Genomic DNA, 24,212 nt, shown 5'->3' on the forward strand with positions numbered 1-24,212 from the left:
TCAGAAAACATCAAGAGAGTGAAAAGAGAAGCCCTGACCTAGCTGGGAGGCAGTTAAAACTATAGTAAGTGGTACCTACATTTGTTTCAAGCACTTCCCTAGCCATTAGTATATCCCGATGGGCAGCTTCACAGTTGGGCTCTAAGTGTTGAAAGTTACATCAACGGCTGGTCACGGCGGCTCATGCCTCTAATCCCAGCACTTTGGAAGGCTGAGGCGGGTGGATCACCTGAGGTCGGGAGTTCGAAACCAGCCTGGCCAACGTGGTGAAACCTTGTCTCTACTAAAAATACAAAAAATTAGCCAGGTGTGGTGGTGCATGCCTATAATCCCAGCTACTTGGGAGGCTGAGGCAGGAGAATCGCTTGAAGCCGGGAGGCGGAGGTTGCACTAAGCCGAGATTGTGCCATTGCACTCCAGCCTGGGCAACAAGAGCGAAACTCCATCTCAAAGAAGAAAGAAAGTTACATCGACTCATATGGGGTAGCCAAATAATTTCTTATCCAAACTGGGACACTTCTGAGAATTAAAAAGGCCATAGAAAAGATTATATTTGAAAAGCAGGCTTAAACTGGAATTGTTCCAGGCCAGTCGGGATAAATGATTGGTCACTGTGACTGTGGGATAAGTTCATAGAAAAGCAATACACATAGTTTGTAATGAAATTGAACAATAATATTTTACATCTATGCACAGAATGAGGAAATGGTATCTACTCCCAATAACTACCTCACCAGAAGCAATCCACTTATATTTAAATAATTCCTATCATAATAATTATTAAATAGGCAATTTACTTTACTTAAATAATTCCTATCAGAGGTGGCCAAACCCTTATCATAATATCTATATAAACATCACGTATAGCTGGGCAAGGTGGTGTGTGTCTGTAGTCCCAGCTACTTAGGAGGCTGAAGCAGGATTGCTTGTGCCCAGGAGTTTGAGTCCAGCCTAGACAACAGAATGAGACCCTGTCTCTGGAAAAACAAATTCATATAATAAATATATATCTCAGAGCACCTGACCTTGTTGACTACTCTATCTTCTCAAAACTCCTTCTTCCTTGGTTTCCGTGATAATACTTGCTCCCAATTTATGCTCTATTTATTTTCAAACTTTCTTTTACGGGCCTTTCTTCTTTCTTTTTTTGAGACGGAGTCTCGTTCTGTCACCCAGGCTGGAGAGCGGTGGCACGATCTCAGCTCACTGCAACCTCCGCTTCCCGGGTTCAAGAGATTCTCCTGCCTCAACCTCCTGAGTAGCTGGGATTACAGGCGTGTGCTACCATGCCCGGCTAATTTTTTGTATTTTTAGTAGAAGCAGGGTTTCTCCATGTTGCGCAGGCTGGTCTCGAACTCCTGACCTTGTGATCTGCCTGCCTCGGCCTCCCAAAGTGCTGGGATTACAGACGTGAGCAACCACGCCCAGCCATCTTCTTCTTCTTTCTACCATCTCTGATATTTCCTTATCCTTTTCCTTTATTCCACACCCTCTAATTTGCTGAGCTAACACACTCTCATTGCAAGACATATCACACTTGAACACTGATGACTCCCATATGTTTATTTGTAGTCCTGACCTCTCTTTTAAGGTCTGTATCTGAACTGTCCAATGTGATAACAATTAGTTACATGTGATTATGAAAAAATTGACATGTGGATAGCTCAAATTGAGATACACACCATATTTCAAAGACTTAGTATGAAAAAAAAAAATAGGGCCGGGCGCAGTGGCTCACGCCTGCAATCCCAGCACTTTGGGAGGCCGAGGCGGGCAGATCATGAGGTCAGGAGATCGAGACCATCCTGGCTTACAAGGTGAAACCCCATCTCTACTAAAAATACAAAAAAATTAGCTGGGCGTGGTGGCGGGCACCTGTAGTCCCAGCTACTCGGGAGGCTGAGGCAGGAGAATGGCGTGAACCTGGGAGGCAGAGTTTGCAGTGAGCTGAGATCGTGCCACTGGACTTCAGCCTGGGCGACAGACAGAGCGAGACTCCGTCTCAAAAAAAAAAAAAAAAGAAAAAAAGAAAAAATCTTAAATTTTATATGGATTACATGCTGAAATATTAATATTTTTAGGTATAATAAAAATAAATATTTTTGGGTTAAATAAAATGTATCATTAAAATCAATTTTACTTAGGTTAATGGCATAACATTAGAAAAAATCAACTTTATGTGTTTCTGTTTAGTTTTTTAAAAAAACTTTTGTGGGTACATAGTAGTTGTATATATTTATGGGGTATATGAGATACTTTGATACAGGCATGCGATACACAACAATCACATCATGGTAAATGGGGTATCCTTCCCGTCAAGCATTTATCCTTTGTGTTACAAACAATCCAATTGTACTCTTTTAGTTTTGTTTTTTTGTTTTGTTTTGTTTTGAGACAGAGTCTGGCTCTGTCACCTAGGCTGGCATGCAGTGGCATGATCTTGGTTCACTGCAACCTCCACCTCCGGGGTCCCGGTGATTCTCCCGCCTCAGCCTCCTGAGTAGCTGGGGCTACAGACACGCACCACCACACCTGACTAATTTTTGTATTTTTAGTAGAGAAGGGGTTTCACCATGTTGGCCAGGCTGGTCTCAAACTCCTGACCTCAGATGATCTGCCCACCTTGGCTTCCCAAAGTGCTGGGATTACAGGCGTGAGCCACCGCACCCAGCCTCTTTTAGTTATTTCTAAATGTACAATTAAGTTATTATTGACTATGGTCACCCTGTTGTGCTGTCAAATACTGTCTTACTCATTCTTTCTAAATATATTTTGTACCCATCTGTTTACTTTTTAAAATGTGGGTATTAGAAATTTAAAAGTACATACATGGCTCCTTACCTCCTACTAATTATCTCTACTTAGAAATTCCACTAGCACCTCAAATTCAGTATGTGTAAAACTAAACTCATCTTCCCCCTTTCAGCCCATTGTCCACACTGATGATACAGTGATATTGCTAAAACACATATCCAGTTACATCACTTCCCTGCTCAAAATTCTGTAATAGTCACTTTCAGGAAAAAAAAAAAGAAAAAAGAAAAAATCTAAGCCTCTCAGTCTCTACCTTCAAGGGCTTACAACATCTGCCTCTCTTACTCTTCACAAGTAAACTGAAAATTCCTAGAAGGCTGGGACTATGTCTCTTAATAAAATTAAAATAAAAATAAATAAAAAATAAAAAAACAGGGAAAAGCATTACAATCAATTAAGAAAATTTTTTGAGTGATCCTTAACTATGTGCCAACTCTATTCTAAGTGATTTGGATGTCCTTAATCCTTACAAAAACCCCATAAGGAAGATGCCATTATCTCCATTTTACAAGTAAGGATATGAGGCACAGAGAGTTTAAGGAACTTACCCAAGGTCATATAACTGGTAAAGGACGGAGGCCACAGTGTGTCCTGGAAATGCATTATAGTCCCATAGGTCAGGGGCATGGAGTGCAAAGGAAACTAGAAGGTATATTGGAGCCAGATTATGGCACACCTGAAGTATCTTACTAAAGGGTTTGGGTTTTCTTCTACAAGCAATGAGGTAGCATTAAACAGTTTTGCTTTTGTTTTGTTTTGTATGAGACAAGGTCTCTATCTCTCAGGCTAAAGTGCAGTGGCAGGATCATAGATCACTACAGCCTCAACCTCCTGGGCTCAATCAAGCCTCTTGCCTCAGCCTCCCAAGTAGCTGGGACCATGAGCATGCACCACCATGCCCAGCTAACTTTTTACTTTTTTGTAGAGACAGGGTCTTGTTATGTTTTCCAGATTGGTCTCAAACTGCTGGCTCAAGCGATCCTCCTGCCTCAGCCTCCCAAAGTGCTGGAATTACAGGCATGAGCCATCATGCTCAATGTGCATTAAATGTTTTTGATCAGAGGAGTGACTGGCGTGCTCCAACTGACATTTAAGGAAATAATTTGAGTAGTCATGTCTATGACTGAGGAACAAGGGACTAGAGAGTGTTTCTCCATCTGTAGTCTCCTCAATTGATGATAACACCATTTCTTCTAGACATGCAAATTTCATATCTGGGAGTTACTGTGAAATCTTTCTCCCTTAGCAATCAGACACTTAGTTCCATCCATTTTACTTCTTCAGTCCTCTCAAAGTCATCATCATCTCCTCTTCTCCAGTCTCACTGCCAATAATTTAAATCATACCTTCTTCATCTCTTACTAAGATAACGAAATAGCCTCCTTGCTATCTCCAGTCTTTTACTCCCTCAGTTTATCCTTCACATTCCCGCAAAGAATAGTTCCAAAATTTTATTTCAATCATGCCAATCAGTTAAAGACTTTACTGGCTTCTTAATAACTTTGGGCTCTTCAGCCCAGTATTCAAGAGTCTTTATTATTTTACTCTGGCCATTCCCTTATCTCATTTCAGTTAAACCAAACTATATGCTGCTCCTCGTGTCTTGCATAAATCTGTGTCTTTACTCGTGCTGTGTTCTCTTTCTTTTCCCAGAACTCTGTTCCTCTTTTTCTTTACCTAACTGCTGCTTATCATTCACAACAGCTCAAATATTATTTCCTTTTTTTTTTTTGAGACGGAGTCTCGCTCTGTAGCCCAGGCTGGAGTGCATTGGGGCAATCTCTGCTCACTGCAAGCTCCGCCCCCCGGGTTCACGCCATTCTCCTGCCTCAGCCTCCCGAATAGCTGGGACTACAGGCGCCGGCCACCACGCCCGGCTAATTTTTTGTATTTTCAGTAGAGACGGGGTTTCACTGTGGTCTCGATCTCCTGACCTCGTGACCCGCCCGCCTCGGCCTCCTAAAGTGCTGGGATTACAAGCGTGAGCCACCGCGCCGGACAGTTCAAGTATTATTTCTTAGGGAAACCTTCCTACCCACCTATTCTCTTTCCCAGGCAGAGTTAGTTATGTTTCTTTTGCGCTCCTGTAACATTCTATCATATATTTATAACTCATCACACTACATTTTAGCTATGGACTTCCCTGAATAAGTCCCCCATTAGAGTGAGAATGTGTCTTACTGATCGGGTTATTCAAGCAATATTTATTGAGCCACACCTCCACCCCTACACCACTAGTACTTGGCTGGAGGCTAGGGATACAACAGTGAACAGATAAAAATTCCTGCCCTTCTGGAATTAACATTCTAAAGGTGGAATCTATCTTCTTACTCACCTTTGTGGTTCCAGTGTCTGGCCCTTGATGAATACGATAAGGTTAGAAAAACAGCTGGGTCTAACAACTAGCCTTTTGAATATTTTCTTTTCAAAGGATCTTTTCCTTTATCTACGTTCCCTTTTAAATTTCTTCCATGTGTTTGTTAGTCAAATACTTCCATGTAGTCTAAATGTACTATACCTAGACAAAATGTCTAAGCAAATTTCAATTTTTACATTTCCCTTCTCTCTTCTTCCATCCCTTTCTGTTTCCTTATCATACATCTATTGTCCATTTCCCTTGAGACCAAGTACTTTCTGGCTGTCCAGAAGTACCATTAGGCATCCAACTTAGCACTTTCTTTTCCCAAAGTATCCCGGGTTCTAACTTACTTCTCCCCAATCTCCCCTGAAAACCCCTAAAGTCAGAGGTAGCTGGTCAGTAGCATCTTCCGTATTGAAGGCTTCACACTTTCTCTATCCCTACCCAGTGAGAAAGGCCCTCCTCTGCGCTGTTTCCCCTTGCCATGGCACCTATCAACCTGCATGACAAACACTGATTCTCTTGCCTGGTTCTTCCTTAAGGAACCTTGGGTTTAATTCTTCTTTTCATTCCTGGTACTTTCCAGGTCTACAACAGTTCAATAAATTACTAATAAGGAATAAATGAGTAAATAAATATATATTGTATACTTATATATCCTCTCCCCCTGAATTCAGCTGTGGGTATGACTTAAATCCAAGAAATTTTGGATTAAAATGAGAGTTACCAAAAAAGGCAGCTTTGACCCAAGGAAAACTTGTTTCTTTAAAAATGTTAGAAGAATTTAAATTTTTAAAATGTGTTTTGGCCTGGCAGGATGGTTCACACCTTTAATCCCAGCACTTTGAGAGGCTGAGGTGGGAGGATCGTTTGAGGCCAAGAGCTTGAGACTAGCCTGGGCAACAGAGCGAGATCCCATCTCTACAAAAAATAAAAATAAAAAATTACCTGGGTGTGGTGGTGTGCATCTGTACTCCCAGCTACTCGAGAGGCTAAGGCAGGAGGATCACTTGAGCCCAGGAGGTCGAGGGCTGCAGCCATCTACAATTGCACCACTGTACTCCAGCCTGAGACACAGAGTGAGACCCTGTCTCAAAGAAAAACAAAAAAATGTGTTTCGATATCCGCGATCCATGTCACATCTGTTAGTGTACCTTTAGTACATGACTTCTGCATTGTTTGCTAACTGACATTCTGTGTGAATAAAGCGTGTATCACAATGGTGTTTCCGTATGTTATCCAAGTGGGTCCTTTCCCCAGGATGTGAGTGAGCCTTTGGCATGGTCTTTTTAAGATTTTGCCAAGGGAAGACTGGGCTGGAACTAAGGAGCTAACATACCATTGAAATCAAATATCCCGTTGGGTGCACTGGAGGGTAGAGAAGAGGGGATTCCTGCACTCACGCTAAATGATAAACTTTTCCAAGGGCAGGGTCGTGAGAGGTCTTCCAGGTCACCTAGTGTTCTGAGTCATGCAGAAGTAGGAAATGGACACAATACTCCCCGCAGAGAATCCTTCCCACAGGACTGATCCTGTCCCTTCCTCCCCTCCCCCGCCCCACACAAGGCGGAATCCCCACGCAGTGCACTGCAGGCGCGGTGGCCACTGCCCCTAGAACCAGATCTCTCCCCCAGTCCCGTCCTCTCCAAGCTCCAGATATGTCAAGGATTCTTAAGCAGGGGTTTTCCAATCTGTCCCTTGAGGAACTACCCCTGAGGCAAGGCGGGCAGGCCCAAGCTGCGATGTGGAGAATTCGATGTCCGAGCGACCTCCTCGGAGGAGTGGGTCGAGTTAAATATAACCGCGCGAATGGAATGGCGCTAAAAATAAGGCAGCAGCTGGCCTGTCCACAGCCCTGTCCCGGGAGGGGCGGGGGCCCCAGTGGTCTTGGGCAGGAAGGCCGCGTCCGGCCCAGGGGCGAGAAGGCTGCGGCGTCCGCAGCCAGGGCTGGAAGGCCTGGGAGGCCGCGCTCTGTGGGCCCCGGGGCCTCCATTCGGGCTGGGTCGCGGGCCTGGACGGGGACTGTCCAGAGGCATCCGAAAGCCAGGCCAACTTGCCTGGACGTAACAAGACGGAAGGGCTGGGCGCTGAGGTCCTGCCAGCCCGGCCGCCAGAGGGAGCTGAGCGCCAGAGGAGGACAAGCCGAACCCTTCAGGAGGCCGGGCGTCTCCGGAGACCGAAGCGCCGGAGGACCCGAGGAGGTCTGCCCCGCGCGCTGCTCTGGAGACTCCCGGGGCGGGTGGCGCTCGGCCTTTCCGCTCCCTTCCTTCCCACAAGTCCCTTCCCGCGCGCGCCCCACGGCCCTGCCCGCCCTCCCGCGTCAGCGCCCCAACCGTCAAGCCAGCAATTGAAACGTTTCCAAAACGGTCTATTTATTTGCTCCCAATAAATCGATCGGCGGTGATTAAAGAATCGATGTGGCCTGGGTGGGCGAGTCGCTTGAGGGGAGGGATTGGGGGCTTTCGCCCGGCGCCTGCAGGGAGGCCGAGGGCGGGCGCGGGCCTGAGGGAGGCGTGTCCCGCCCGGGCCACACCCGAGGACCCGACACCTGGGCTGGCAGGCCCCGGCAGGCAGCGTTCCCTCCGGCGGAGAGGGGCGCGCGCCCGCCGCCTGCTTTCCTCGGCCCCTCTCGCCTTTCTCGCGCGCCGGGGAGGCTGTGGCCGCCAGTGGCTGCGGAGCTGCTCAGAGGCTTTTGTTGCTCCTCGGCCGGCTGAATGGGGATTTTGTAAAGCGGGACAGATAAAAATGAGCAGCATCATATTGTTTGACAGAATGATCTCGCATGATGAAGTGTCGGCTCCGAAGGGGGTGAAAATGGTGAATTCCTAAAAACCCAGCCCTGGGCTCCTCCTCGAGCTGCCGGTAGCCTGGAGGGACCCAGCGGACAGCCGGGCCTGGCCGCATCGCTCCAAACGGTGTCAGAAAGACTCCGGCTTTCAATGCCAAGTCATTTTTAAGCCCCGATCCTGTCCAGGACCTTTCTCCTCGTGGATGAAAAGAACAATTTTCGAGAGAAAGGCTCGTTTTTATTAAATCCGACATGCTGCTGATAACTCCATGCTAATGTGAAATAATTAACATAATAGCCATAATTAAAAGCACGCTAACAATGCCATAAATTTATCACACAATTTTACTAGCTTTCTGCCCCTAACTGCTCTCTCATCGTTAATTAAACGTGTTGCCTTTTACAGAATGGATGTTTATATATTTCCAATATAAATAAATTCGAAACCATCCTCTCTCTCTTCCTCTTTCTCTCCTCCTTTCCTTTTGGTCTCTCGCCATTTACAGGCACGCCTTGGCGTGGACCCTGAGTGGCAGACATCTTGAAAATAAATGAAGTTTTGAGATGCAAATCCAAACAAGAACATTAAAATAGCCTCTTTTTTTCCACCCCGAAAAGATCCGGAGAGGTATACAAGGGGGTAGTGGTGGGTAAGAGAGTTGAAAATCCCCCGCTTTGGGAAATGGAAGTAATCTGGGTGGGTTGGGGCCTTGGGTACCACCTCTGCCCTTTCCCACCTTCCTTGGTGGCGGCCATCCAGACAAAGAGGCCGGTAATAGTTTAACAAATCTATGAAGATTTTCAAGAAGCAGCAGACTTTGATTGTTGCGGGCGCGGGGGTGTTGGGGAGAAAGGAGGGGAATTTTTCTAATAGTCCCACCCACGTTTTGCTCCCTCTTGGACAAAGAGTAACTACTCTTGGTGGGGGACGCGCCCTTCACTCCGCGGAACCTGGTCCCAACTCCCCGTATTGTAAGAAAAGTGCACCCGCGCGCGGGCATGATGATTCTATCTCACATCGCGCCAACGACTTATTCAAGCCACTGGCACTGTCTCTGACTTAAAAGAGGAGAAAAGAGGCATATGGGTTCACTTGGGCCTGGTGAGGGGTAGGTGGGCAATTCCCGCCTTCCGCACTCTAACCGTGCCCCTCCTCCAGTGTTGACCACCTAAGAACCCAAAATGAGCTGTAATTAATTTCCCTTTCTCCATCATAAATTTTTCTATCCATTTCTTCCCCCCCATCCCCCCACTGGACGCACACACTAAATCTCCCCTCCCCTGGAGACGTCTCAATTTCCTTCCTATCGATCCGGACTCCATTCTTCTTGCCTCCTGTTGCTAGAACCTAGATCCCCACTCCCCGCACCCCTCATTCCCACCGCGTCCAGGTGGCTTTCCCAGCGGGGTACCATGTACTCTGCCCGCTCCAGAGGAACCGAAGGGGTTTCATTCCATTCTCCTTTGGTTGAAACATTTCAAACATTTGAGCAGGTGAGGCAGCTGGCTGCCATCTTCCTTTTTAAATCTCTCCTGGGAAGTTCGCTTGTTGAGACTCAAAGAGTCACTCAAACTCATAATTGCGTGTGTGTGTCTACTCATTCTCCCTCTATCTCTCCAATAACCCTTTGAGACTCAGAAACTTTTTATCCACATACACCCTTTATCACATTTTCTTCCCCCCACTACATGTGTCTCACTTTCTCTCTGTATCTGTCTCGCTTCTTCCGTCTCTGTCCTACAGCTTGGCGGTAACTGACGACCTGTGAGCTTTTAGCTGCAAACTGCAACTACGCGGCAAACAATTTATTTAGCCCGACATCTAGCCGGTCTCCGGCAGGACCCTGCACCGCGTCGGGATCGGACCCTTCCGCTGGGGCGGCCTCCTGCGTCAAGGCCAGCAGGAACCTTCCTGTCGCCCTCCCCGGCCGCCGCTTCGCCTCCTTCCCGCCCCCGGAGGTTGTGCAGGCGCTATGGTCCGCCTGGAGGGAGAAAGCCGGCGGCCGGTTCCTGAGCCGAGAGCGGCCGCGGAAAAATCCTCTGCCTCCGCTGGAAATCGATATTAGGCCGGCGCGGGCGCGGGACGTCGGGGCCGCAGCCAGTAGGTTGTGCACGTCTCATCATTTAGCTAATCGAGTCGAAAAGTTTCTGTAAGGGCCGGACCCAGCATCAGATGGTAACACTGATTGAACAAGAGATTAGCACAATAGATCTCTAACCGAGGGGAAGCGTTGCTTTTCACGCTACGCGCCGTAATTAATGGTATGAATCAATTAATTTGACTTTTATTGTGTCGAAGGAAAAAAGCGCAACAAATGGAACCGGCAGCTGGGAGTTGTTCGTCCTCCACCCCCTTCCCCAGGGAGGTTCCAAGGAGACACCGGGGAATGGACGGATCAGGCTGGGCCGTGGCAGAGGGAGGGTAGGAGGCAGCGACCAGCAGCGTGGAGGGAGTCCAGAGAGCTAGCCTCTGCGGACGGCGGAATCGAAATTAGGCTCATTTGGAGACTACTTCGAGACCGGTGAGGGGAGCCCTGTAGCCACCATCCTCCGGCGCGCATCCACACATACTAGTCCACGCGGGCCCAGCCACCAAGGCCGCGGCAGGGCCAGCGCTGCGCCCCGGGCCCCTGCCTTTAGGGCTGGGCAACCCAAGCAGAGCAAAGGAGGTTCCTGAATGTGTAAATTTCCGCTTTTTAGCTTTTTTTTTTTTTTTTTTTGGACCTTCCGACACTTCGGTTGCTGAGGCAGTTGCAGACGCGACCTCTGCAGTCCTGGGCGATGGCCAGCCAGCTCAGCTCGGGTCGGTTTCGCGGAAAGCTGTCTAGACGGCATTGTAAACGGTTCGGAGCCTGCGGGCCACAAAGCTGTGGAGCTACGGAAATCAACTCTGAGATGCGTTTTAGGGCCGTGTGCAACCTCGGGATCATTTAGATAAAGAAAAACTGTGGAGGTTGGCGGGCGTCTCAGGATAGTGTCACCACCCCCTACCCTGCTCCCAGCCTCAGATGAGTAGTGTTATATCCTGGGAAACTGTCTAATGGGGATGAAAGTCAATCTGTGTGTCTCAATGCCTGTAATGAAGCAAGTTTACAGATTTTTAAATTTTTATTTTTATTTTATTGAATTATTTTTGGTGTGTCTAGGCCAAGGAAAGAGGAGATCGTGGGTGGGGAAACAGACTGAGGGAATCAGAAGCACCACTGTCCATCCGGAATTAAATCCACATCCCAGCATCTTCTGCAAATATTTCACTAATTATTTCCTCTCGGAACTCCTCCCCTCGTGCTCCTTCCTCTGGTGAGGCCGGCGCTCCCCTCCCAGGCCGCAGCGGACAGACAGGGATTGGGTTCCGTGTGCCTGCCACACCAGGCAGGCTCTTGCGGCTCCCAACTAGGCGGCCTAAATGAGGGAGGAAAGAGGAGGCGCATCGCTGATTCACCGCGTCAAGAGCACTGACTTTCCTTGGAGGTGTGAGGTCCACGCACCCCAGCCACGCACTTGGGGGTCGGTTTGCGGTGCCTCCCCCTCCAGTCCCAGTGAAATCCCCACAGTTTTTCCTACTATCACTGACTTGCCTTGCACTCCGCGTGCATTGGCCACACATCCTCGCCTCCTCCACCCGCTCCGCCGCCGGTTTTCTTGGAAGTTAAATCTTGGAGGATTTGTCCACACCTTAAGAGAAGAAAATCCACGTTAGCTGGCAGCAACGGAGATCCCAGCATGCTGGCATGCCCAAGTCTGCCCAGGTTCCCCCAAGGCCATGCCCGCCGCCCGGGAAGTCACTGCCCGCACCCCTCACGTTTCTTCAGCCGCCCCTGGGCGCTGCGTCTAACCTGAAGACACCAGGCCTCTTCCCGGATCCACTCGACTTACCCAGGCCGCTGCCAATCCCAGCTCCTTCCCCAGCGCCTCATTTCCGATTTTTTCATATGCTAAGTCGTTTAACAACTCCAAGTAGCCAGTTATGGCTTCTTTATTTATAGGTTCCCTGCTATTTTACGTCGTTTTTATTTCTCTCGGCAACTATTCTAGTAGATTAATCAATAGCCATTTTCTGACCTTCGGGAACCCCAGCTGATGCTTTTTGTGGCCGCACGAAAAAATACATACAGGAAAACACGCCCGCATCAAGCCGGGAAAGAGCAGGTAGGACCTGAGTGGTTTGGTTGGGGGAGGGGGAAAAAGACATCTCAGCAGGTGTCTTCCCCGGAATGAGCACTGAGGCCAGAGGGGAATCTGAAATCTAATTAGCAGGAGGGAGCCGGGTGCGCTGCTCTTACTCTTTAAAGCTAAAAACAATGAAACAAAAAGCAAAACAGAGACTAAGTTTTGCTTTTTAAAACACGATATGGGAACCTCGTTCTAGGTCGCCCAGTCCCTGTCTAAGGAGTGTGACAAAGTGGGGGGGAGAAGGGCGGAAGGGAGAGGGGGCGGGGAAGGCAGGGCAGCGACAGTCGCACAGTCCCGCGGACGCTCCCAGGCCCACGCCCTGACTCGCTCACACCCACCCACACTCACACCCACCCGCTCCCTGGGCCCCAGGGCCCGGATCCAGCCTGGGTGGGGGGGTCTCCGGGCGGGCCGCAGCGCCCTCCGTGCCCCGGGGATGCTGGCGCACAGTGCGGAGCGGAGTTGCGCGTCTCTCGTCCCTTTGTTGACAATTCCCTGAACCAACTTGAGTTTGGCCGGCTCGGCCGCGGCCCTGACGTCACGCACGGTCACGTGGCCCCGCCTCCCGCTGGATCTTTAAGTAGAAAGTAATCTATCAGGCCAGTCCTTAAAACGGGACTTTCGACTACCGGGGCTTCGGCGTCCCTGACACCCAGCCCCCTGCCCCCCCGCTACTGTCCCTGCCCGCGCCCTCCCGAGCTGCTCGGCGCCCGGCGTCCCGCGCCCGCCTGGACCGCTCCTGCGCCCCACGCCAGGGCCAGAGGCCGAGGAAGGCGGGCTAAGTGAGGGGGCGCGGCGTGGAGAACCGCCGGGGCCGGGAGCGGTAGCGAGCGCCTAGTACCGAGCGCCAGGGACGGCAGGAGTTCGCGGAGCGCGGCCGCTGGGGGCGGACGGCAGAGCCCGCGCCACGCGATGCGGGGCCGCCGAGTGTGAGCTGAGCCCAGCGGGCCCCAAGCCACCTGCGGCCCCCTCCCCTCTCCCTGCCCCCCATCTTTCGGGGGCACTCAAACCCTCTTCCCCTGAGCTCCGTGGCAGCCCCCGAACACCCTCATCGCCCGCTGCCCCCTCCCCGCCGCCGCTACCAACCCCGAGGAGGGATGACCCTCTCCGGCGGCGGCAGCGCCAGCGACATGTCCGGCCAGACGGTGCTGACGGCCGAGGACGTGGACATCGATGTGGTGGGCGAGGGCGACGACGGGCTGGAAGAGAAGGACAGCGACGCAGGTTGCGATAGCCCCGCGGGGCCGCCGGAGCTGCGCCTGGACGAGGCGGACGAGGTGCCCCCGGCGGCACCCCATCACGGACAGCCTCAGCCGCCCCACCAGCAGCCCCTGACATTGCCCAAGGAGGCGGCCGGAGCCGGGGCCGGACCGGGGGGCGACGTGGGCGCGCCGGAGGCGGACGGCTGCAAGGGCGGTGTTGGCGGCGAGGAGGGCGGCGCGAGCGGCGGCGGGCCTGGCGCGGGCAGCGGTTCGGCGGGAGGCCTGGCCCCGAGCAAGCCCAAGAACAGCCTAGTGAAGCCGCCTTACTCGTACATCGCGCTCATCACCATGGCCATCCTGCAGAGCCCGCAGAAGAAGCTGACCCTGAGCGGCATCTGCGAGTTCATCAGCAACCGCTTCCCCTACTACAGGGAGAAGTTCCCCGCCTGGCAGAACAGCATCCGCCACAACCTCTCACTCAACGACTGCTTCGTCAAGATCCCCCGCGAGCCGGGCAACCCGGGCAAGGGCAACTACTGGACCCTGGACCCGCAGTCCGAGGACATGTTCGACAACGGCAGCTTCCTGCGGCGCCGGAAACGCTTCAAGCGCCACCAGCAGGAGCACCTGCGCGAGCAGACGGCGCTCATGATGCAGAGCTTCGGCGCTTACAGCCTGGCGGCGGCGGCCGGCGCCGCGGGACCCTACGGCCGCCCCTACGGCCTGCACCCTGCGGCGGCGGCCGGTGCCTATTCGCACCCGGCAGCGGCGGCGGCCGCGGCTGCTGCGGCGGCGCTCCAGTACCCGTACGCGCTGCCGCCGGTGGCACCGGTGCTGCCTCCCGCTGTGCCGCTGCTGCCCTCGGGCGAGCTGGGCCGCAAAGCGGCCGCCTTCGGCTCACAGCTCGGCCCGGGCCTGCAGCTGCAGCTCAATAGCCTGGGCGCCGCCGCGGCCGCTGCGGGCACAGCGGGCGCCGCGGGCACCACCGCGTCGCTCATCAAGTCCGAGCCAAGCGCGCGGCCGTCGTTCAGCATCGAGAACATCATAGGTGGGGGCCCCGCGGCTCCTGGGGGCTCGGCGGTGGGCGCTGGGGTCGCCGGCGGCACTGGGGGTTCAGGGGGCGGCAGCACGGCGCAGTCGTTTCTGCGGCCACCCGGGACCGTGCAGTCGGCAGCGCTCATGGCCACCCACCAACCGCTGTCGCTGAGCCGGACGACTGCCACCATCGCGCCCATTCTTAGCGTGCCACTCTCCGGACAGTTTCTGCAGCCCGCAGCCTCGGCCGCCGCCGCTGCTGCGGCCGCCGCTCAAGCCAAATGGCCGGCGCAATAGGGACGCGCCAATGGCCGGGACCCAGGGTCCGGCGGCGGCCTCGAGCAACAAATGCACCTCCAGGCTGCGCGCCCTGTCCCAAGCCCGGTCCCGGTCCCGCTGCCCAATCCTGGACTCTGCCTCTCCCCAATTTCCTTTCCCCTGAGCCCCCAACGCCTACCTTCCGCGGCCTCCATCCCCTCGCGCACACCTAAGCTGGTCGAGCAAACTCACCGCGCGCCCGCCGGGGATAGCTTTCCATACAGGTAAAACCGAAAACCGAATTTTCCAAAAATGCACCCCGACGGCGCCTGCTCTTAGTACCGTGGGGATGGGAGGGAAATTCTTTGTATATATTTGTAAAAAAATTATTGACTTTCCTTTTGGGGTTTTTATTTTTTTAAGAAAAAACAAATTCCGTAGATTTAGAGCTCTGAACTTTCATTTTTTTTGAAGGTTCACTCTCCGAAGTTTTATCTGAGAAAAGAATGTATAGAGACGTTGGGAGATTTTAAATATAAAAAATTTTCAAAAAGGCAAAAAGTGTCATTCTATTATAAAAGTCTGTTTATATATGAATGAATATATATGGTATTCTAAATGTTATTCCATCGTGTTGTACACAACTTTGTAAATAAATTTTTAAAATGCCCAGCCTAGTGTTTTATTTAGTTGTCTGAAGTAAATGGCAAGATTTTTAAATGGTATTTATTTGCCTTTTCTCCTCCCCAGAAAATCAAGGAATTTCAAGTAATGGCCTTTTCAAACTTTTTAAATTCATAATTTGAGTGTAAGAAAATTTTAATTGGAGAAAGGAAATAGTATGCCTAATTTAAATTGTGTTACTATTTTTCTTTTAGTTTTCACATAAAATCAGGATGTGAGTGATATCATTCATATCAACCCATTAAATCTAAATGACCAGACATTTCTGTAGATAAAGTAAGCTGTCATTTAAAAAAAGAAACCGAAACAACAGCAGTCTTTAAATTTTTTTAAAAAATGACTAGACTTGTATCTTCCACAATGAAAACTTCCCAAATGAGAGAGTTCTTGGTCATTTCAATTATCCTTTGAAAAGTAAGTAAATTCCAAACATCCCTCTTTTTAACATTTAAATCTTAGATTTTTGAAATTATTTCTTTTCATTCCTTAAGTGGAAGTGGTAAATAGACCCAGCTGGTTTTAAAATTTATGTTAAGGCACTTTACATTTTGCAGTGGGATTTTATTTATGTTCATCTGATAGATAATACATAGTTTTGTTTTCATAATATTTTCAAATAAGATATCTCATTTATATGGCAATAATCAATCCACAACATAATTGGATTTCTGAAGGGGTCCTATAGATGCTTCCTCTCCCTCCAACCCAAAGCCTTTCTGAAGGCCAAGGAATGGTGGCCTTAATACCCTTTTAAAAACAGCTGAACATCACCTCTCTCCCCTTTTTTTTCTTTACCTTAGGCTAGGTTAGTGTGAAATGCGACATCATAGGGCAGGAATGGGGAAGGTCCTTGTAGATTATTTTTAATTTGCATTTCAGCTGTTAAAAACTTTTAAAAGAAAGTATGAAGGTAGAAATGAAACATCTTGATGTGGAAGGCTGGTTCTCACCACCATCAGCATATCCTCAAAAGGCATCAATTCTAATTATTTTGTAATTAATTTAGCTGTTACAATTACTTGTGCGAAATCGCTTTTAAAAACTGGAGCGAGTAGCAGTGCTGTCGGCTCGGCCCTGCGCGCGTCCTTTTGGTTAATCCCGGCCAGTCCCCGGTGTTGTCGTCCACTTTGCCTCCCTGGTGGTGGAGATGCCTCCCCGTCTCGGATCCCACCTCATTTCTCCGCTGTCGACGTGGGCTGGGGGTCGCTTTGAAAGACACTTCCTTGCAAATACCCAATCTGTTTTCCTGGTAAACGGTAAACATTATTGTGTCTTGAGTAAACATTCCTTCGGGATCAGGGTCCTAAAATAAAACAAGCTGCCGGGGGTGAGATAGTTTAACTTGATAAACAAGAACCTGATAACCACCGCCGAGAGAGGAGCAATGGTAACCTTCACCGAGAGGAGATTATGGACCACACGGTCTCCGGGCGGGTCCCTTCTAATCTCCTTTTACAAGGAAAACTAAACGGATCTAATTTTGTTTGTGTGTTGCAGCTATAAAAGTAACAAGTTGTTTCACAGTTGTGTCTGGCTAATCGGTTTTTACACAAACAGCAAATGGTACATGATTTGTGCAAACACATAGAGAGGTTATTTCTAAATTTAGCTGACAGCCCCTGGGAAAAGGGAAAGGCAGGGCTTCTTGAATTCACTTTTAGCCTCAAGAAGCTGCTGATCCAAGGCTTCTAAATGACATTGGATAACAGGGGCCTCATTCCATCCCTGATCCTTTGTTACTTATAAAATTACTCGCTCATATTTCCGCGCATAGCAGCAATACCGGCCGAGCCTGCGCCAGCAGCGTGACACTCAGCCACAAGCCACCGCCGGAGACTCGCAGGGCTTTTTCCAGCGCTACATTCATTAGGCGGCGGGGTGAACGGGAGAGACCTGCCGGCAACTTTCCTTCCAGCCAGTTCTTACCCTTGAACGACGGCCTAAAGATGGTCCCCTTCCTTTATGTCGTGGAAGGCAGGAAACTCTCGGACCCAGACCCTCAAGCTGCCAGCGGTTGTTTAAAGTCCTGGCAGATGTCAGGAAGATGGGCCCGGCCGTCGCACCCTCAAAAGCTCTTTTTCGTTTAAGCTTTTTAAACCTCGAAGATTTAGCACAAAATGGGAAATGCAAATATCATAGACAATGATCGCAAGCACTTAGTGGTGGGGCTGGGGGAAGCCTGAAACCCTTGTTTGATGTTATGGAACGCAGGCACCTGCGACAAACGGCACTGGAAACAGCTCTCTCGTTGAGATTTAAAGTCAACACTACTGATATCCACTTTTTATTCCACTTAAGAAAAAAAAACTAAAGGAAGGGGGGCAGATTTATTTGCAATAAAAGAAGAAAGCGGGTTGATTTTTATGGGGAAGATTTTAGCTTTCGGCTACACACGCATTTAGACGTTTCTACTTTCTCTAGCACTCATTCCTAGAAAAATCAATCCAGCCCTGAGGCCTGTGGCCCCTAGAGCGTTCTCAGGACCAAGGTCTGAGTTGGGACCGCCCGTATCTAGTTCCTCGGAGGGGTGGATCTGGATGTCCGGGGAAAGGCGAATGAAGAGTAGAGCAAAACATGTGCCGGCTGTTGAGGGCTGTCGATGCGATGGCAGATGTGGCCTGTAGGGGGCGACGAGCAGACGGAAAACTTCGCGGTTTGTCTGGAATGGTCCAGCCCCAGCCCCGGACGCCTCTCCTTCCCTCCCAGGCTCTGAGCCTCCTGACATCCTTGCTTATTCTCAGGCCCCGGAAGCCTAGGTCGAATCTCGAGAAGCTGATTTCCTCCTTTCCCCCGCCTGTGTCCTGGGAGGAACAGAGTCCCGAGGGGAGTTTGTCCTAAAGATTGGGAGGCAATAAAGTTTAGTGATGAGGAAACATTGACTTGGAAGCAATTAAGAGTTATATTTGAGGTTATTTATTTCACATGGTTTATAGGGTGAGTCTTGGTAGTGAGAACATGAAAGGCTGACATGAGTGTGTGAGAGGTGGGTATTTTTAACGTGAGTCCCTTGAGAAACTGTCCTGAGGGGTATGTGATCTGAAAGAAAGTGGGTTCCAGAGCCTTGTGTCCCCGGACTCCACCTGTGTCCCCGGTGGTACAAGCTGCAGAATAAAGTAGTGAAGGGAGGAGGTTGGAAGGGCATTCTGAAAGTGCCAGGCTGAACCTTGTGGGGAGCCGTCTGTTTCAAGGGAGGAGGCGACAGGAAGAAGCGGGATGAGAAAGGCCTTGCAGAAGGCGTTCCAACAGGGATTAGGCATTTCCTAACTGTGACTTTGGACAAGCTGCTTGGTTTCTTTCAATGACTGCATTTCCTCGACCCTACAGTGAGAATGAGTCTGCCTGTCACCTGGGCTTACAGAATTAGGTGAGTTGGTGTCAGTGAAAAATGTCTTATAAACTGTAAAGTGCTGGGGGCGTGTACAGTGTGTTTTTTAATGGCTTCTGCACGAAGAAACAACTCTGTTCTAAGCACTGGTACACGGCCAAATACATTGGCTCGGTTCTGAACCATTTGATTTTAGGTATGAAAGGTGGATTTTTCTAAGAGGGGTTGCAGAACCCATCCCAGGAAACTCCCACCCCAGAAGAGGCTTTTAAAAGGTGGAGCTTCCTCCTGGTCTGTAGGCCTTTCACTATGCCTGCGGAGAAGCTCTCGGTGCCCACCCATCCTTCAGCCTGCACCCCCAGCTCCAGGGGCAGGGCATACGTCTCTCTTCTCTCTGGCAGAGCGGCCTACTCTGCTGTTTGCCCCTATGCTTCCACTATCCGAGGCAAGTGGGGAAATCTGAGTCCACCGCTGACAGACTCCCATTAGTGCAAGATGCGGCCTGGGAGGCGAATTAAAGGTAACCAGATCCCAAACTCACTTAAAAGACCACCCTCCCCTTGCTGCCCTCCAACAGTTGGCAGAGTTACACCCAGAGCCAACTTCTCTCTTCGCCACTCCCCCTCCTTGCCCTCTGAGGAATGTACAAGCCATTCTTTGCTCCCTGGGGTACACAAAACAAAATTTGAAAAGAAATGTAAAACTAGCCAGGGTGTCTGTAAGAAAGCATAACCATCTCATTTTTATTTCCCGAAGTGCCGTCATATATTAGAATTTTCCTAAATGCAGAATTAAATTGGTCCCCTCCCCCATTTTAACATAAAACTGCTACCTAAGGCTCTTCTCCAGATCATTTGTGCTTTTGCACACAGCTCCATCCCATCAGGGGTGAGGCGGGGAAGAAGAGGGACACCTTCACTCTCTTGCCTGAGTCCTCTGGTGCTGAATTCCGAACCCGTCTTCAGAAAAACAGTCCTAGAATATCGGCATTAGAAGTGGCCTCCGGGGTCACCCTGGAGGCCCTCTTTTCACACAGGCCCACCCAGAAGGTTCTGGGACTTACCCAGGGTCACTCAGCAGCCCAAGTGCAAGCTATGGAAGTACTCGGAGGAGGAAAAAGTGTGCTTTACCCAGCAAGAAGGCGCCACTTGAGGAAACAAAAACAGCAGACTCTGGGGCAAGGAAGATTGGGGAGGGTTGAGAGGAGAAGGGAAAGACAGACACAGACGCGCCGGGCCGGTGGAACTCAGCTCCGGGAAGGCTGTGGACCTGGACCCTGGGGCTCCCCGCTGCCTGGGCGCCTCTAGCCCGGCGATGAGTGGTTCTGCGGGGACCGACGGCCCCATTTCCTTCTTGCCTCGTGATGTGGGAGGGAAGAAAGAAGGCGGCAACTGCAGGCCCGAAGCTCCCCTCGCCCAGCGGCCCAACCACAGTGCTGTCGTGTCGGGGATCGGTCCCCAAGGGAGCCCCCAACCCCCTGCCCACGCCGAGATCACCCCCGTGCCAACCTCGAGGGCTCGGCCTGCGGGACTCCAGCTGCCCCTGCCTGGAGGGAGGGAAGGGAGAAGAGAATACGAATTAATTACGAAGGAAACCCAGGTGTGAAAGGCACCCGCCGCGGAGCTGGGCGTGCAGCGGGGCGCGCGGTGGGACCTCTGCTCCCGTCCCCGTCCCGCGGCTACTCAGTTGCCCGCTCATGGGAGGCTCGCGACGGAAAATAAATCCCCTCAGAGTGAACCTGGGAGGCCGAGAGGACCCAGCCTGGGATCTCTGGGGGAAATAGGGGCAAGTTTACCACGGTTTAATTAAGCCACAGCCCTAGCACGAGGACCCCGGCGACCCATCCGGGCTGGGGGATGGACTGGAGTGCCCCCCACCCCAGGCCGCGAACCGGCAGCGAGAAGCACACTCTCCGCCATCCCCGGCCCCGCCGCTTCCGCCTCTGCGGACTCCGCGTTTGCCATGCTCCTTCCCGGGGTCCAGGGACCGGAGCTGCGGTGCACGTCTTATTGAAGGGGAGAGCTTTGGTTCTTTTCCTCCCTGCATCCCTCCCACTTTCCTCTCAACAGATAGTAAGCAAGACTCAATTTTCTCCAAAAAAGCCCGTTACCCCTTTCTGCAAGGGGCGCATGCCTAGGTTCACAGGGAGCTCTCTTGTCAGCCCCAGAACAACCCTAAACTCCAAATGTTCTGTTTGCTCTCGAGGTACCCCTGGGATGCAGCGTCTCCTCCGCGAAGCCTTCCTGAGCCTCCCTGCCCAGACCAGTTGCTCCTTCTTGAAGCTCACCGTGCCAATTAATGAGCCATTGTCATTAGTGTTGCCCTCTGAGTTCCTGGTGAGTTCCTGACCGTCTAGCATTGCTGAGCACAAAGGGGACGATCTAAATTATTTGTCTGATGAATAACAGCTTCGCACCACGGGAGCGGGGATAGGGGATCTTGAAGGCTGTTAACTTATCAAATCAAGTCTTTCTCAAGAGTTTGGGGAACTGTTTTCTTCCCATTTCTTTCCTTCTTTATAATGAATGCTTTTTATAAACACTTAATTTTTTTAAGTGAATGAATTTTAAGTCTTTATTAGAGGTCTAAAAAGCGTAAGACCCGTCAACTATGTATTTTTCTGGCATGTTTTCTCAGTCATTGTGAAATTAGTTGAAAACTTCTCCCAGCCTGAAATACCAGTAGCTGGTTCCACCTCCCACCCTAATGTAGAAACCTCTTCAGAACACCTCGGTTTTCAGCCAGCATCTGTTTCAATTTTTCCAGTGGAAGAGGAAGAGGAACCACTACCTCACAAAACAATCCATTCCACTTAGGGGCATCGTTATTTGTTCAAGGGTCTTTCTTTTCTAGAACTCCTTTATTTCCTTAGTAAAGGATAGTGGATTTGAGAGTCATTTGCTCAGATTTTCATATGAAAGATGGTCGTATTTCCATGTGTTGGGTTTCTTTATCTAGAAACACAAATAATTCACTGTGCTTTAGCTCCCACATTAAAACTACTATTTGTTGGGGGGAAACTGAGCAAAAGCTAAAGTTTTGAGAAAGCCTCTGGATTCTGTATTCATTACACACAATCCAGGATGGTCCACAGGCCTCCTTTTGAGACCCACTTGGAGAGCCTTGGGTTCAGACTACACTGGTGGTAAAACTCTTGTGGAATGGTTGTAAGAGTTTTGTGTTCCTGGTTTTTTTAACCAGATAAAAAGCTTTTTTTTTTTTTTATTCTTTTTACCATTTTGTTTTTATAAGCTAAGATAAAAAGTATTTTTTAAAAAGTTAAATCATTTAATTCATCTTTCATTGCTGTATTCCTTGGCATAAAAGTTATGTCTTACCTATATTAGTCATCTAAACCACTCATCATATAAAACTAGGAACTTAGATGTCTTCTCTGGAAAATATTCATGTAGATTCCACTGTTTAATTAGAGAAGCAGAAAGAAGGAAAATCCCAGATATTTGGCCATTGCCTTCCAATTGGAATCAAGATAATGTGTTCTTTTGCATTACCCATCTAATGCATTTTCTGGCAAATTTATATCGCAGTTTGTGTGGTTCCCATTTGATTTAGTCTTTATATAGCTCTGTTAGCTTCCTTCTTTGCCATTGTTACAGATTATACTGGTAAACCTTCTTTCAAATTCTACCAGCTTGCAAATGTAAATGTTGGTTACAAGAGCAAGGTAGTTTCAAGATCAGCACAAATTAATCACAACCACTGTGAAACATCTGCTTTATTGATGGTACTTCAACAGCATCACTTTCCACATATATCAGGAATTATGACTTTATGATAAAGTTGCTCTTGTTCCTAGAGGGAATCAAGTGCAAGAGTTAATAGACTGGATTAAAAGACAAGACTAATTGCTAGTCCTAGTCCTGACATTGAATTTAGAAGCCCACATACAGTAAAGATTACTAGTGAAAATTTAGCTGAGAGAAGGAAAGGAATTATAGTATAATAACTATCATTTCAAAGTTTTAGCTTTTTGAGTAACTGTTTTAAAAATTTAGTTTTTTTACCTTGATTTTACTTTTATCTTGATTTAAGATATCTGTCATTCAAACCTCCAGCAGTTTGAGAACTTATTTACTCTAATACTGATACTATATACTACAGGTCAGGGTAAGGGATTGAATTATTCTCTGCTACCACCACCTATGAGGTCCAGTGAATAATTTGAAAAAGGCTTACAGGAGATTGTGAGCAGGAATCCGGGCTCAACTTTGGGAACTGGTATTCTAGTGCAGTATATTCAAAATACATACTTAATGGGTCACTTTTTTTTGTTACTTTAAAATAAAATATTCTTACACTAAATAAGATGAAGTTTGAGAAGCATATTATTAGTTGTGAGAGCTAAACACTTATGATGTGAGAGATATCTATATTGTATTTTTCAAACTGATTCCCTTACTTCTTATTTGAGACACAAAATGATATTCTAGAAGGAGCATAGGCTTTGGAATTGATAATCTTAGGGTCAAATCCTGGTTCTGCCATTTCTTAACTATGTGATCTTGATTAAAGTTACTCAGCCTCTCTGAATCTATGTTTCCTTACCTACAAAATGGGGATCAGAATATGAAGATTTACTATCACGTATTTGGAGTGCTCAAATGTGGGGGCTATTAGTACTACACAGTTTTGCTGTTACATAGTGGTCATATTTTCATGAGGCTACCTTAATTTTTACTCTGATATCATATACCAAATAGTTGCCACATTTCATATTTAAAAATGAAGTCATTGAGACCACTGTCCCTTCCATCTGTTTGAGCTAGGCATCATTTTTGTGTTCTCACAACTTAACGAATGTGAGACAATTTGCTCTGTAGTGTTGCTTGGTAAATCACTTTTTCACTTTCAGGGTATTTTTCAGTCTTGTGGATGAGAGGTCTTGACAATAGTCATTAAAGATATGATAGCATTTTCACAAGAACAAGGACATGTGCCTTATGTCTCTTTGCTGAGATCCAGTCTGGGTGGACTAATTTTAACATTTTTCTAGATCTACACTAATATTTCACTAGGAGAAGTCACTATCTGCCTAGGTCAGATCTGATTAAGAGCTAGTAAAGACCACCTCAGTTATACTCTCTGGTAATGGAAGGATGTGATGTTGTGTAGTTCAAGGAGGATGGGATAGAAGTCAACCGGTTTGGGTTTGCTGGATGGTGACTTTGGTTAAGTCACTTGAAACTCCAAACTGCAGATTATTATTATCTAGTGGAGACATATTACATATCTGTTTAGCTTACTCCCATTAAACCAAACATCATTTAAAAAGCAGTGTTACAGCTCTTTTAGAATTAGTCTAGCAGGTTTTCCAGCTCTCACCAGAAAACTAAAGAAAAAATAAATAAAAAAAATAAGAGAGAGAGAGAATGAAAATCCACTTAAATGTGAAGCTACCCTGAATTCTACTTAATGGGCATGAGATGCAGGGAAGTGAGGCAAGGGTGGCACAAATTGCTGTTTCCATAGTTAGTGTCAGTTCTCTTATCCTTTTCTTTCTTTCTTTCTTTCTTTTTTTTTTTTTTTGAGATGGAGTTTCGCTCTTGTGGCCCA

At 48.8% G+C, this 24,212-nt stretch overlaps 1 protein-coding gene, 2 long non-coding RNA genes and 2 other non-coding genes across 8 annotated transcripts in view, besides 6 other annotated features; 2 read left to right on the forward strand and 3 right to left on the reverse strand.

Moving 5' to 3' along the window:
* The window catches only part of LINC00466 (long intergenic non-protein coding RNA 466), a 158,175-nt gene extending 150,745 nt beyond the window's left edge, over positions 1-7,430 (reverse strand). The window contains exons 1-2 of the long non-coding RNA NR_038252.3: positions 7,231-7,430; positions 6,122-6,260 (exon numbers count right to left, since the gene is read on the reverse strand). This is a non-coding gene — a long non-coding RNA (long intergenic non-protein coding RNA 466). The remainder of the gene's footprint in view (positions 1-6,121; positions 6,261-7,230) is intronic.
* Positions 7,576-7,755: a silencer, noted in NCBI's record as "silent region_947". NCBI's record gives its function as "represses an Ori minimal core promoter by ATAC-STARR-seq in GM12878 lymphoblastoid cells {active_cell/tissue: GM12878}" and the evidence as "EXISTENCE:reporter gene assay evidence [ECO:0000049][PMID:35858748]".
* On the reverse strand, positions 11,057-14,614 carry FOXD3-AS1 (FOXD3 antisense RNA 1). Of its 4 annotated transcripts, NR_121634.1 has the most exons (4): positions 12,489-12,631; positions 11,838-12,253; positions 11,540-11,636; positions 11,057-11,363 (listed from the first exon to the last, which is right to left on the reverse strand). It is a non-coding gene; the product is annotated as an FOXD3 antisense RNA 1 (long non-coding RNA). The 4 variants fall into 4 exon arrangements; NR_121637.1 differs by lacking the exons at positions 11,838-12,253; positions 12,489-12,631 and adding an exon at positions 14,528-14,614; NR_121636.1 differs by lacking the exons at positions 11,838-12,253; positions 12,489-12,631 and adding an exon at positions 13,664-13,848.
* Positions 12,348-12,657: a silencer, noted in NCBI's record as "silent region_948". NCBI's record gives its function as "represses an Ori minimal core promoter by ATAC-STARR-seq in GM12878 lymphoblastoid cells {active_cell/tissue: GM12878}" and the evidence as "EXISTENCE:reporter gene assay evidence [ECO:0000049][PMID:35858748]".
* Positions 12,740-15,301, forward strand: FOXD3 (forkhead box D3). Its single transcript, NM_012183.3, has one exon. It carries the CDS (start codon positions 13,232-13,234, stop codon positions 14,666-14,668), a length of 1,437 nt encoding a protein of 478 aa, NP_036315.1. The 5' UTR covers positions 12,740-13,231; the 3' UTR covers positions 14,669-15,301.
* Positions 12,778-12,857: a silencer, noted in NCBI's record as "silent region_949". NCBI's record gives its function as "represses an Ori minimal core promoter by ATAC-STARR-seq in GM12878 lymphoblastoid cells {active_cell/tissue: GM12878}" and the evidence as "EXISTENCE:reporter gene assay evidence [ECO:0000049][PMID:35858748]".
* Positions 13,181-13,870: an enhancer, noted in NCBI's record as "H3K27ac-H3K4me1 hESC enhancer chr1:63788679-63789368 (GRCh37/hg19 assembly coordinates)". NCBI's record gives its function as "activates a minimal SCP1, AML or CMV promoter by ChIP-STARR-seq in naive and primed H9 embryonic stem cells {active_cell/tissue: H9 hESC(naive and primed)}" and the evidence as "EXISTENCE:reporter gene assay evidence [ECO:0000049][PMID:30033119]".
* Positions 16,787-17,655: an enhancer, noted in NCBI's record as "H3K4me1 hESC enhancer chr1:63792285-63793153 (GRCh37/hg19 assembly coordinates)". NCBI's record gives its function as "activates a minimal SCP1, AML or CMV promoter by ChIP-STARR-seq in naive H9 embryonic stem cells {active_cell/tissue: H9 hESC(naive)}" and the evidence as "EXISTENCE:reporter gene assay evidence [ECO:0000049][PMID:30033119]".
* MIR6068 (microRNA 6068) lies at positions 17,098-17,157 on the reverse strand. Its single transcript, NR_106716.1, has one exon. It is a non-coding gene; the product is annotated as a microRNA 6068 (primary transcript).
* Positions 20,357-21,285: an enhancer, noted in NCBI's record as "OCT4-NANOG-H3K27ac-H3K4me1 hESC enhancer chr1:63795855-63796783 (GRCh37/hg19 assembly coordinates)". NCBI's record gives its function as "activates a minimal SCP1, AML or CMV promoter by ChIP-STARR-seq in naive H9 embryonic stem cells {active_cell/tissue: H9 hESC(naive)}" and the evidence as "EXISTENCE:reporter gene assay evidence [ECO:0000049][PMID:30033119]".
* Positions 23,932-23,993, forward strand: LOC124904741 (U7 small nuclear RNA). The gene has a single exon (XR_007067296.1). It is a non-coding gene; the product is annotated as a U7 small nuclear RNA (small nuclear RNA).
* Positions 23,994-24,212: the final 219 nt, after the last annotated feature.

This window comes from Homo sapiens, chromosome 1 (genome assembly GCF_000001405.40).
Source record: "Homo sapiens chromosome 1, GRCh38.p14 Primary Assembly".
Taxonomy (NCBI): Eukaryota; Metazoa; Chordata; class Mammalia; order Primates; family Hominidae; genus Homo; species Homo sapiens.